At 37.4% G+C, this 14,663-nt stretch overlaps 1 long non-coding RNA gene across 1 annotated transcript in view, besides 1 other annotated feature; it reads left to right on the top strand.

The window, feature by feature from the left end:
* The window catches only part of LYPLAL1-AS1 (LYPLAL1 antisense RNA 1), a 122,167-nt gene that overhangs the window by 94,937 nt on the left and 12,567 nt on the right, over nt 1–14,663 (top strand). The window lies entirely within an intron of this gene.
* Nucleotides 1,140–1,229: an enhancer, noted in NCBI's record as "active region_2547". NCBI's record gives its function as "activates an Ori minimal core promoter by ATAC-STARR-seq in GM12878 lymphoblastoid cells {active_cell/tissue: GM12878}" and the evidence as "EXISTENCE:reporter gene assay evidence [ECO:0000049][PMID:35858748]".

The raw sequence follows: 14,663 nt of genomic DNA, 5'->3' as shown, positions 1-14,663 counted from the left end.
GCATTTACTCCAACTGCAGCCCTTCACTGACTTCTGACCACTTTCTGTTCTGTCTTCATCTTAGTGATCCTCCTTCTGAGCTTCCCCTTGTCTTATCCTGCAAGCTCCTCCCACCACCCTGTACCCTCTTCCATGGTAATACCGAACAATCTTGTCTTTTCCTCTTTCTCCCTCTACATTCTTTTCAGCTACCAATAACCCCTCCCTCCTTTCCCCTTGCCTCATCCTCAGGCTTTTCCTATTAGCCTTCTGCCAGTTCATTTTGAGTTAACATTCATTACTCTATTAGAAACATGATGGTTAAAACATAATTACCAGCATCAGGGAGCTGACACATTTGTAGATGACATCAGCATGATACAAAGCAGGGAATGGAGAAGTGGAATCTAAGGACACAGAGAAGGGAAACACAAATCCAAAAAGTGTGGATTTTCAGATGGGGTGGGAAGAATCAAGGAGAACCTCATGGAGGTGGTGGCATCTAGTCTGGGCCTCAAAGGGTATATGAGAGTTCAGAGGAGACAACCTTTTAAGTAAAAGGAAGACACCTTAAGAAAATTTCTAACTTGATTATTACATGTGAAAAAGGACCAGAGACCTAGTAAGCCACTGCCACTTCCCAGGAATATGTCCATTATATTTTCACAGGATAAGTGAAAGCGAATCTTTTACTTTTCCTTTGTGGGGACTTCAGACTTCACGTGGAAAGCTCTGATAATATAGCAGAGAGGGTTGGAGTAGCAGAGACAGCTGGATCATGTAAAGGACATACTCATTTTTCTTTTCTCCTTCAATATACAGACACAGGCCCCTAGGAGAAACCCACTAAAGTGTAACTCTTGAGGAAAAATAGCAAATCGAGGGTGTACTCCAGCAACCAAAGCAGCCCTGCAGTCAAGGATACTGGCTCAGGCTAATAAATTCTCTGCTAACAACCCCCAGCGGCAAGGTTGCAATCATGTGGTTCTATTTAACGAAAATATAAACAGAGGCCATCCCATTCTAATTTAGAAGAAGAGAATAGTTAGAATCTGGGGTTCTCAGGGCAATGACTCAGACTTCTGAGCCATTAACTCAAGAGAGAGCCTGTGTTAACATGTACACATTGGGTTGTCTGTTTTGACTTGACTGGTCAAGGAAACAGGCAGGTTAGGTTAAAAAAAGAAAACAACATGCCGGACAGTCAAGAAACAGTGAAACAAATTGTTTGACAGATGATTATTATTTCTGTTTCGGGCTGTCACTTATGTCAAGTAAATCACACCAGTTAAAACAGATGAACTTCATGTTCAGTGTCCTCTGAATGGAGTTCTACCCATCCACCTCATTCACGTAGACACTCCAGGCTTCTCATGTGGCTCTTTCTCCTCTACTTACTTCCTCTTCTATTTTCGTTCCTCATTCTGGTTCTTGTTTTTGCTTGCGTGCCTCCGTTCTTCACTTCCCCCCTCAATGTTTGCTTCATCCATTCCTCAGAGAAAACAAAAAGTTGTGCAAACTTTTTCAGTTCTGAATCTAATTCTAATGGTGTTTCTAATTTTTAAGGCATTATTCCAGAAATCAATCCTGGCATTTACATTTCCAAATTAATAGAAATGTATATATAAACACATTCACATTCCAGGAAAGAGCATCTTAACCATTCTTGCACAAATTCACCACTTTGTTTTTATTTGTACAGAATGGCTGAAGATAAGTTATTTGCTAACACTTTCTAGAATCAAATGGTCAGGCTTATTGTTTCTCCTTAGGTCTCCCTGAGTCCTTATAGTGTCATGCAAAGATCCCTGGGCTGAAAGTCAGAAGATTTCTGTTCTTCTTCCTGTTCCACCACCAGTCAGTGCTTGGCTTTCTTTCTTCTGAGCCTCACTCTCATATTTGAACATCAGAGGGCTGGTCTACTTGAGTTCTATCATTGTAGCATCTTAGTATTGTGATTCTCTAAGGCTCCTTATATAACAGATAATCAACATGAGGCATAAAGACACTATTTCTGTACACATACCTAATGTTATTTTTGGCTTTGTTATAGACCTAATATTGAACACCAAAGCTAAAGGCTGTCTTTCCTACACTTGCATTGAGAAATGACTAATTGTATAGCCCAGATTTCTCAAGATCTCTCCTTCCTGCAGATATCTGTGAGGCATGCTAACATTAAAGACTCCAATGTCACTATTACATGTCCTCTTACGCTGACACAGGTCCCCTCAACCCCTGGAAGTTTTTACCCTACGGACAGTTTTTCCCTACATTCTCATATGGCCACAGATAAGTTGGAGCTTATGTTGTGGGACACAGCTGTTTCTAAGTTGGGGTTGTTGCTGCTCTACTGGGCATGGCTGGTACATTTCTGCTATTCCAGGCTTGACATTTGACTGGTTCAGCAGTCTCTCCGTGGCTGCTGCTAACGCTGTGTTGGGTTTAAAAGCCTGCTCCAGATGCTGCCTCTATTCCATTGTCAAGTATCTTGTCTCTGTGACTGATCCGTAAGGCATGGCATTTTCTCCTGACTGACCACCCTCAGGCAGTTGGCAAGGCATGGCAGACACAGTGCCAGCTCTGCCAGGCACCATGCTGTGACTTCAGGGCACCAAAGCTGTGTGATGATTTATACCCTATGGAAAAGTGGTCAGGGGAGACTTTTTCTTTCTGTTAAGTTCTGCTAGAGGGAATTCCAATGCAGAGTTGCTCATGTCACAAAGTAAAACCACTTCAGCATTTACTTAGAACTCTCTGCTTCCCATCATACTCAGACTAAGCTGAACTGGAGTTAAGGTAGGGATGAATCTCAGACTTGCTGTGTTCGGAATTATCTTCCTCATCCCATGACACAGACTTTTTTACTGAGTCAACCTAATCTTTCCTGGATCATTCCTCTCTCGGGACCAGTCCTCTTCCAGAAAATTTCTCAGTCTTTATGCAGACAAGATTCTGGGGGCTGACACTGCTTTTTTTGCCAGATGTCCCTAGACACATCTGAATCTCTTTTAGTCTCAAGCTGGAGCCTTTTTCACCATTGCACAAAAAGCTGGGTATAGTTCAAATTCCTGACTGTATATTCTGATTCCCCTGGGCATTTACACTCTGCCATCCCACACAGTTCCCCCTCCTGTGTGAGGGTCCTATTGCAATTCATTAGCGTGCTTTTTTTTTTTTTTTTTTTTTTTTTTTTGCTTTTTGTTTTGGAGACGGAGTCTTGCTCTGTCCCTCAGGCTGGAGTGCAGCGGCGCCATCTCAGCTGAATGCAACCTCTGCCTCCTGGGTTCAAGAGATTCTCCTGCCTCAGCCTCCCAAGTAGCTGGGATTACAGGTGCGTGCCACCACGCCTGGCTAATTTTTTGTATTTTTAGTAGAGACAGGGTTTCACCGTGTTAGCCAGGATGACCTTGATCTTCTGACCTCGTGATCCTCCCACCTCAGCCTCCCAAAGTGCTGGGATTACAGGCGTGAGCCACAGCGCCCGGCCTTCAGCGTGCTTTTTTTTTTAATGGTTTGCTATATTTACATCTGGTTTCTCCTTCTGAATGGTAAGCTTCTTAAAGATAGAATTTGTTTTCTTCTGTATGTCTTCTGTTGTGTCTTGCATAGTGCTATTCACATATTAAGATTTTGATTGGGACAGAGATATACAAGAATATCACTGGTGCTTTTGAAGCAGTAAATTAATTTAAAATTTAAAAAATCAGAATTCCAAAATGATAGAAAAATGTACCTCCTGGGGCCACAGTAATTCAATGAGTCCAGGGCAGTGGGACATGTCCTCTGCCGGATTCCCATGTAGCCAGATCCGATAGTGTTATTTTAAGTACAGAAAGAAGTTGGCTTTTTAAAGTACTTTTTTAATTATGGAAAGAAGTTCAGCTTTGAATGCCTGGGCTGTGTTTGGTTGTTTAATATATAGAATAACTCCCTAGGAAAAAAATCCTAGGGAGGTAAGTATGAAACAGTGGGAAGATTGTAATTATGCAGAACTTTGAAGGAACTGCAACATTTGGGTTAACTTAATGTTGTGGTTAATTGTAGGTTAGTCAGAAAATCATTATTTCAACACTTTTAAAATAATCCTTACAAAATGCCCTTAGCAAATTCCCATGTTGCAAGCATAGCTATATCTTTCTTTGTTGTCTGAGGATTTTTAGAGCCTTCATGTCAATATTGCAAACACAAACTTTCATTTAAGTGTTAGAGGGCAAGATGGTGCAGGGTATTGGTCTTTGCCTGAATTAACCATTTTATATTCCCTAGACATTGGCTTAGTTGAGTGTTTGATCTCAGGTTGATTTTTTATAATTGTCTCTTCTTTACTATCCCACTCTTTTTTTTATTATTATACTTTAAGTTTTAGGGTACATGTGCACATTGTGCAGGTTAGTTACATATGTATACATGTGCCATGCTGGTGCGCTGCACCCACTAACTCGTTATCTAGCATTAGGTATATCTCCCAATGCTATCCCTCCCCCCTCCCCCCACCCCACCACAGTCCCCAGAGTGTGATATTCCCCTTCCTGTGTCCATGTGATCTCATTGTTCAGTTCCCACCTATGAGTGAGAATATGCCGTGTTTGGTTTTTTGTTCTTGTGATAGTTTACTGAGAATGATGATTTCCAATTTCATCCATGTCCCTACAAAGGACACGAACTCATCATTTTTTATGGCTGCGTAGTATTCCATGGTGTATATGTGCCACATTTTCTTAATCCAGTCTATCATTGTTGGACATTTGGGTTGGTTCCAAGTTTTTGCTATTGTGAATAATGCCGCAATAAACATACGTGTGCATGTGTCTTTATAGCAGCATGATTTATAGTCCTTTGGGTATATACCCAGTAATAGGATGGCTGGGTCAAATGGTATTTCTAGTTCTAGATCCCTGAGGAATTGCCACACTGACTTCCACAATGGTTGAACTAGTTTACAGTCCCACCAACAGTGTAAAAGTGTTCCTATTTCTCCACATCCTCTCCAGCACCTGTTGTTTCCTGACTTTTTAATGATTGCCATTCTAACTGGTGTGAGATGGTATCTCATTGTGGTTTTGATTTGCATTTCTCTGATGGCCAGTGATGATGAGCATTTTTTCATGTGTTTCTTGGCTGCATAAATGTCTTCTTTTGAGAAGTGTCTGTTCATGTCCTTCACCCACTTTTTGATGGGGTTGTTTGTTTTTTTCTTGTAAATTTGTTTGAGTTCATTGTAGATTCTGGATATTAGCCCTTTGTCAGATGAGTAGGTTGCGAAAATTTTCTCCCATTTTGTAGGTTGCCTGTTCACTCTGATGGTAGTTTCTTTTGCTGTGCAGAAGCTCTTTAGTTTAATTAGATCCCATTTCTCAATTTTGGCTTTTGTTGCCATTGCTTTTGGTGTTTTGGACATGAAGTCCTTGCCCATGCCTATGTCCTGAATGGTAATGCCTAGGTTTTCTTCTAGGGTTTTTATGGTTTTAGGTCTAAGGTTTAAATCTTTAATCCATCTTGAATTGATTTTTGTATAAGGTGTAAGGAAGGGATCCAGTTTCAGCTTTCTACATATGGCTAGCCAGTTTTCCCAGCACCATTTATTAAATAGGGAATCCTTTCCCCATTGCTTGTTCTTCTCAGGTTTGTCAAAGATCAGATAGTTGTAGATATGCGGCGTTATTTCTGAGGGCTCTGTTCTGTTCCATTGATCTATATCTCTGTTTTGGTACCAGTACCATGCTGTTTTGGTTACTGTAGCCTTGTAGTATAGTTTGAAGTCAGGTAGTGTGACGCCTCCAGCTTTGTTCTTTTGGCTTAGGATTGACTTGGCGATGCGGGCTCTTTTTTGGTTCCATATGAACTTTAAAGTAGTTTTTTCCAATTCTGTGAGGAAAGTCATTGGTAGCTTTATGGGGATGGCATTGAATCTGTAAATTACCTTGGGCAGTATGGCCATTTTCACGATGTTGATTCTTCCTACCCATGAGCATGGAATGTTCTTCCATTTGTTTGTATCCTCTTTTATTTCCTTGAGCAGTGGTTTGTAGTTCTCCTTGAAGAGGTCCTTCACATCCCTTGTAAGTTGGATTCCTAGGTATTTTATTCTCTTTGAAGCAATTGTGAATGGGAGTTCACTCATGATTTGGCTCTCTGTTTGTCTGTTGTTGGTGTATAAGAATGCTTGTGATTTTTGTACATTGATTTTGTATCCTGAGACTTTGCTGAAGTTGTTTATCAGCTTAAGGAGATTTTGGGCTGAAACAATGGGGTTTTCTAGATATACAATCATGTCGTCTGCAAACAGGGACAATTTGATTTCCTCTTTTCCTAATTGAATACCCTTTATTTCCTTCTCCTGCCTAATTGCCCTGGCCAGAACTTCCAACACTATGTTGAATAGGAGTGGTGAGAGAGGGCATCCCTGTCTTGTGCCAGTTTTCAAAGGGAATGCTTCCAGTTTTTGCCCATTCAGTATGATATTGGCTGTGGGTTTGTCATAGATAGCTCTTATTATTTTGAAATACGTCCCATCAATACCTAATTTATTGAGAGTTTTTAGCATGAAGGGTTGTTGAATTTTGTCAAAGGCTTTTTCTGCATCTATTGAGATAATCATGTGGTTTTTGTCTTTGGCTCTGTTTATATGCTGGATTACATTTATTGATTTGCGTATATTGAACCAGCCTTGCATCCCAGGGATGAAGCCCACTTGATCATGGTGGATAAGCTTTTTGATGTGCTGCTGGATTCGTTTTGCCAGTATTTTATTGAGGATTTTTGCATCAATGTTCACCAAGGATATTGGTCTAAAATTCTCTTTTTTGGTTGTGTCTCTGCCTGGCTTTGCTATCCCACTCTTAAAATTAAATTTGTAACATTTTATGATTGAAAACTATGCATATAGAAAAATTTGGAAAACTATAGGAAAATATCACCCCAAGTTATTTGCTTCACTCAGACAAAACCACTTTTAACATATTTAGTTTTTTGGTTTTTGTTCCTATGCTTTCAAATTTTTTTCCTTAAATATTATCATTTTAAACTAGTTTGTATGAGTTTAAGCAACAATGTACAGACTAAAGTAATGTCAGTAAGTGACAAGAACATTGAAGCTTCACAGAAGTGTGAAAAATGTATAGTTAAAAAAAAAGTCTTTCTCTGCACACATCTTCAGCTTCCATGGCTTGAAATAATAATATTTTTAACAGATTCTATTTCAATGTTTTGTAGTTTAAGATGTAAACTTTACAGCATTTATGTAGGACTTCAGTTAATAATGGTAGGTTGAATATATCTGTTTAGTTCTAATTTCTCTAGAGACCCTCTAAAATGACTGTAAAAGAGATTGAATGTGAATGTCAAGGTTACAGTAACTTCTCAAGATCAAACAAAATGATAGCAACCAAAGTTTAGAATGTGGAATTAGTGGTTTCAACTTGTTTTATACTAAATCTTGGTATCTTTGAGACTAGCCAAGACACCAAGATTTAGTATAATACACGTTGAAACCACTAATTCCACCTTCTATATTCTGTCCTGTATACAATATGTACTCCTTAAATTGCACACCGTTTGCAAACTAACTAGTTAGCCTGAGGTAAATATCATGAATTCTGGTAGAAGATACAAGTTTCTCGGATCAGAGACAAAGAACTTTATTACACATGACACAGTTTCATATTTGTGTGATTCCCCTTGCCCCTGAAGTCCCCCTGAGAGATGCAGAACAGTCCAGGGAGATGCTGTCCACTTGAAGATTAGCTTGAGGGACTGAGCTTAGAAAATCCCAATCTTTTATAATAGGTGGCTAGTAAATCTTCCTAACTTTTGCCCTGGTGATAAGCATTCTCTTTATTATCTTGGACAGCAAACAAATCTGTATATTTCTCCAGAAGAAGACTATCTCTATTTTCCAAGGCTCTTCATTAGACAAATATCCTTGTGCATAAACATGAGATCCATGTAGAATTGTCTAACAACAATGATAAACCTCAATAATAATTATTTTAAAGCAACAGGATTCCAATGTTAAGAAGAGTAAACTTGTAGTTTGACTGTGTACCATGCAAAAAAAAAAAAAAAATTCAGGACTCTGCTTCAAGATAGCAGATTTATGTTACCCTTTTGTTCTTCTCCAGTAGCCAATAAAAAATATTACACATATATACATATATATACACACATGTACATAGACACACATATATAAAAATCTGTATATTGTATATATTCCTCATATATACTTTTACACATATAAAATATGCACTATATATATGCATATATATACTTGTGTGTGTTCACACAGGCACACACACAAACATATACTAGTATTTATATAAGAATAGACACAAAAAGCAAAGCAAGTAAGATAGATAAGGAGGTTAGAGACCAGCAGGTAATAAACATACCTATGAAAGCACATTAAGTAGAGCATGTTGAGGGAAGACAGTGCATGAGAGCCACTGCTCAGAATATGCTACAAGGGAGCTTCAGAGAAATGGCCGTACATATGTTTGAGAGATCAAACTGTTAGAAATAAGGAAAACACAAGAGGATTCCCTAAAGGAGTATTCATAAGGAATAGTTGCTCCCAATCTCCCCTACCTGGCACAGGCAGTGAGGCTGCCATTGCTAAGGAAATTGAATGAGATATTTGAAATATGCCTAGTGTAGATGTTGGCATCACAGGTTTAAGTCCTTCTCATCACATTCTTACAGAAGAAAGGGCAACAGTCTGAGAGCTTTGCCTTCTTCACTGAAGCAGAGGAAAGTTGACCAGCTGACATGTTCTGCTCTGTCTCCTGCTGGCAGCCAGGAATATTCTCATCCAAAAGAGAGACAGAAGGGAAAAGAGACATAGCAGCAGAGGAGATCCTTATTAGCTGAGCAGTTATTTCTTAAATATAAATAAACAAGTAAGGATTACTAGGTATATAAAAAAAATGGCATGAAAGAGATTTTTAAAAAATACATAAAAATTATAGAGGCAAAATCAGAAAAAGCAACATAAGAATAATGTAACTTGATTAATTTGAGGTTTCATTGCATTCACAAAACAAGAGCAAGATGTTCTAAAAAAAAAAAAAAAAATCGAAGAGCTTTCAAAGAGAAGTGATAGGGTCCCAAAGTTAAAAACAAAAGCTAAAAGTTCATGGAAAATAAAGCTAAGGAAATCACCCAGTAAATAAGCAAAAGAGACAGAAAAAGATTCACAGATGAAGTGATTAGAAATGTAGACAATTTTTAAACTGCCAAAAAAGCCACTAGGAATAATGAGTGAAGCTTGCCAGAACCCTGACTGCAAGGTCAATATACAAAATTCAAGTATTTCTATGCACTAGAGGTAAATAAATGGAAACAAAAAGAAATTTAAATTACCACTTACAATAGCTGTAAAATTATCAAATATCTAGAAAGAAACTTAATACAAATTTTGCAAGACTTAAAAATATACAATATTGCTAAGAGAAAATCAATGTGTCTAAAGTAATTGGAGATTAATAGAAAAATATGCCATATTTATGGATTAGGAATTCAGTTTTGTTAAGATCTCAAGTTTACCCTAACTGAACTGTAGATTCAATGCAATCCTGATCAAATACCAATAAATTTTTCTTTGTGGAAATTGACAAGCTTTTTCTAAAGTGTATATGGAAATATAAAAGTCGTAGAATTGCCAAGACAATTTTGAAAAAAAAAAAGATGAAATGGCAACACTTAATAAGATTTTAAGATTCACAGTAAAAACAGTAATTAAGGGAGTGTGGTATTGGTGCACGGCTAGACAAGTAGGTAAATTGAATAGTATAGAGAGTCCAGAAAAAGGCCCACACATATATAGTCAGTTGATTTTCAGCAACACTGGTACTGCAATTTAGTGGAGAAAGTGGCCTTTTCAATCAAAGTGATGCTAGTGACACCTGTCTCACATCATACACAAAAATTAATGTGCAATGGCTTGTAAATCTAAATATAAAACATTTTTTTAAATAAAGGCTTTAGATGAAATTATAGAAGAGTATCTTCATGAATTTGGGGGTAAGCAAATATTTCTTAAATAGGCACTAATCATAAATGAAAAGATTGGGAACATGGAGATATTTATTTATTTATTTATTTATTTTAGATGGTCTTGCTCTTTCACCTAGGCTGGAGTGCAATGGCATGATCTAGGTTCACTGAAACCTCTGCCTCCTGGGTTCAAGTGGTTTTCCTGCCTCAGCATCCTGAGTAGCTGGGACTTCAGGCATGCCTACCACCATACCTGGCTAATTTTTGTACTTTTAGTAGAGACAGGGTTTCATCATGTTGGCCAGGCTGGTCTCGAACTCCTGACCTCAGGTGATCCACCCATCTCTGCCTCCCAAAGTGCTGGGATAACAGGTGTGAGCCCTCACGCCTGGCTTCCTTATATTTAAACAATTCTATTAATGTAAAAATACCATTAAGAAAAAAGGCAAGCCACAGCATGCAAGAAGACAGTTATAATACATACGTCTAAAAACTACTTCTGTCCAGAATATACAGAATCTTCTACAAATCAATGAGAAAATGCATATAACTCAATTTTAAAATGCATAAAAAACTCCTGAGCAAAAATTTTATAAAAGAGGATATCCAAAGGGCCATACACATAGAAAAAAGGTTCAACATCATTACTCTTTAGAAAAATACAAAGCAAATCTATAATGAAATACCATTTACACCCATTGGAATGGCTAAAATTAAAAAGACTGAAGGACTGACAGTAACTCATATTGGTAAGGCGGTTGAACAACTGGAATTCTCATACAGTATCATAGCAGGAGTGTACGTTGGTACAGTTTGGAAAAAAGTTTGACAGTTTCTTATAAAGTTGAACATAGAGACCCAATAATTCCATTTTTAGATAGATACCTAAAAGAAATAAGTAATATATTCTTCAAAACTCATATATAAGAATGATCACATTTGCATTTTTCATAATAACTCCAAACTGGAAACATGTCCACCAACAGGAGGTCTAATAATTGTGGAAGATGGAAAATTATACTGCAATTTAAAAAATAACCAACTACTGATATTTTAAATCGCATAGATGAATCTCACAGACATTATGTTAAGTGAAAGAAGCCAGACAAATAAGAGTGTATACTGTATAATTCCATTTATAAAAAGTTCAAGAACAGGCAAAACCAATTGATGATACCTTGAAATATGAGGTTATTGACTTCTGAGATGCTGGAGGCATTCCATATCTTTATTTGGATAGCGGTTATGTGAATGTATAAATGTATATACACTTAAGATTAGCACATTTCATCTTTTGTATGGTTAAATATAATTTAGACAAAGCAAGAGACCAATTCAGGTGGTCCTGTCTTAGTCTGCTTTCTCCTGCTGTAAAAGAATACTACAGACTGGGTAATTTATAAAGAAAAGAAATTTATTTTGCTTATGGTTCTGGAGACTGGGATGTCCAAGGGCATGGCACTGGCATCTGCTCAGCCATCTGGTGGGGGCCTTATTGTTGTGTCATCTCATGAAGGAAAGTGGAAAGACAAGGGAGCATGGGAGACAGAAAAAAGGGGTGAACTCCTGAGATAACTGATCTACTACAGCAATAACAGCTTTAATCCTTTAATCCACTCTTACCCTATGACCTAATCACCTCTTAAAGGTCCCACCTATTAATGCTGCCACACTAGCAATCAAATTTCAATATAAATTTTGGAGGGGACATTTTAAATGAAAGCAGGTTCCAAACTCACCTATTTATGACACCTAAAACAGGAATGGTGAAAATAGGGGAAGGGGATTGGTTTTTAATGTCACAAGAAACTTCCTAGAATATTCAGATTGAAGGGGTTCACTGTTAAGCAAGATGAATTTTAAATCAGAAATATAAAATATTCTCATTAAATTATAATGCAGCTAGGATCAAGGCATGTTGATAAAGTCTTCTGGACAGGAAAAACAAGCCATATGTAAAGGAATAAGGATCAGATTAATGTCAGACTTCTCATGAACAATTGGATATTACAGGAAAATGAAGCAATGTTCTCTCAAATTTCTGAGCCAACATATCAATCAGGTGTGAGAACAAAATAATTTTTTTCTGACAGGCAAAGGAGGGTAACGTTTACCTTTTAATCGTGCCTTTTAAGGGAGTTAATTGAAGATACAATACAGTCAAGCAACAGGAGGAAAGAAACAACAAATGGGAGACATGAGGTTCCGAGGATCATGGTTCCAACACAGGACAGCAGAAAAGAGGAGTTGCAAAATGACTGCTACAAAACAGACTTAAAGAGAAAACATTCCAGTTTCACGTAGGAGGACAAAAGAAAAAACAAAACAACATGAAGTAGGTGTCCAAAAAATGAAATGTGTTGGAGAAAGTTATTATGCAAATAACACACAAATTAAAAGCATAATTGGAAAAATACAATAGAACAGGTTCTATTTAACCTTGCTGCAAAAGGACATTTTACTTGGAGTAGTGTAGGGGCCTGCTTTGAGTAATGCTGGACCCACAGGAAAGGAAATATTATGTTAGCACAAAACTTGAGCCCATGGTGAACAATTTTTGCAAACTTCAACTTGTAATATGTACAGAGCAGGAAAGTATTATTTACGGTTGAGGGACACACTATGAATGTTCACAATCGTGATAATGCAAAAGACAAAATGCACATGACAGAAAGAGGGAGTGAGTGAAGACTGGGTAGAGGAGATGGAAAAGCTAGCTAAAATTCTTCAGAGAAGAAACTTGAGATACTAATTAAAATAGATGGGAAAAGAAATACAAGTATATTATTTAAAGTCACAAAGGTAAACAATAAAATATTTTAAAATAACAGCATTACTATCAAACTTTGGAATGAGTGAGTTGTAAGGATGGAGAAGTAGAAGTGCATTGGCATGTATAAAGCTGAATTCAAAAAGAAATCAGGTCTAAATTGTTAAAGAGTTAGGACAGCAGTCCAGTGGGAGAGTCCAGTGCAGACTGGGTTAAAAATATTTTCCCCCTGGAGTAAGACCAGCGTTGGTGAGAGTGGCTGTTGCTTTTCTCCCTGTAAACTCTTCAGCACTACTTGATTTGTCACCATATACGTGTGTTCTTTTGTTCAAAATTAAAATTAAAATGTAACGTCCATTTGCTATGGGTGCTGCCCCCTATCCCCCAGCATCCATTCTCTGCTTCTTTTCAGAGAAGGATGGAGCAAATGCCCCAGATGAAGCCTACACGACATGAGTCAGAGAACTTTGGCCAGGATGTCTGGGGAAAAAGTTTCCTCTTTCTTCTCTGGGAACTATCTGGAGAGGGTTGTTTTAACGCTGGATGTGAACAGCGACTCGTGTAGCCCCAGAAGCCTCTGACAGCCGCGTTGGAATCATAAGTTCTCAAAATGAAGGTGACATTGCAGGAATCAGGGAAGAGGGAGGGAAAAATTATTTAAAGCCTCACCCAAGGCGGGCCCTACCACCTGAATATTTAAGTTACTTGGGCCATTAAATTGTATTTTTAAAGCCAGTGCAAGTCAGGTTTTTTGTTACTAATAACCAAAAGATTTCTGAAAGACAAAAAAAAAAAAAAAAAGAAGAAAGAAACACTTAGAAAATGTTTATGAAACAAACAACCTAAAATATTTCAAAGAATTTTATAGGTTAGAAAACTGTATCACAGATTTCCCTTTGTCTTCACAGCATTCTCATGAGGAAGGAAATTGTTATCCAAGTGTTATGAAAGAGAAAACTGAACAGAATGGTCAGGTGACCTACTAAAGTCCCTTTGGTTATAAATGACCAGTACTTTTGACTAAGTACCATGCTCTTACCAGAAGACCACACTGCAGGTGTAGACAGATGGACAATGGGATAGAATAGAGAGCCCAGAAATAAATCCATGCATATGTGGAACTTTAATGAGGGCAGAGGTGGCCTGGCATTTCAGTGGAGAAAAGAGGGATTATTCAATAAAAGGAGCTGGAAAAATTGGTTGTCCATTTGGAAAAAAAGTGAATTTGGATCCCACCCTTACACCATACCCATAAATCAACTCCAGATGGATTAGGGACTTAAATGTCAAAAGCAAATTTTAAATACTTAGTAGAAAAATATAGGTGGATATCTTTCCAATCTTGGGGTAGGGAAGGATTTCTTAAACAGGAGCAAAAAGTACAAACCATAAAAGAAAAGATTTATGATTTTTGAGTATTAAAATTAAGAAATTCTGTTCATCAGAAGAATTCTTAAGATGAAAAAGCAAGCTACAACCTGAGAAAAATTCATTTGGAACATATAATTGAGAAAGGTTTAGTATCAAGCATATGTAAAGACTCATAAAATAATAAGGAAAGGCCAAACCACTTGATAGACCAAAAAAAAAAAAAATCAACATTTTACAGAGGAGAAACAGAAGGAGAAACATACAGCTAAGAACATATGGAAGGATCTTGAGTCTTATAGCAATATTGATGAGCAAATCAATATATAGAATAGCAAATCAATATCATTATCAAAGAGATAATGGATATCTCTTTATGCTCAATTTATTGGCAATAATTAAGAATTTAAACTACAGCAAAATTGAAAAGTATATGGATCAACCAGATTTCTTATATAGTGCTGGTATAAATTGGTTAACCACTTGACATTATCTTTTAAAGTTTAATATTCACACACCTTATGACCCCACAATTTTCTAGGTGTACATATTA

Source organism: Homo sapiens, chromosome 1 (genome assembly GCF_000001405.40).
Source record: "Homo sapiens chromosome 1, GRCh38.p14 Primary Assembly".
Lineage (NCBI taxonomy): Eukaryota > Metazoa > Chordata > Mammalia > Primates > Hominidae > Homo > Homo sapiens.
This window is presented reverse-complemented; position numbering and strand designations above follow the sequence as displayed.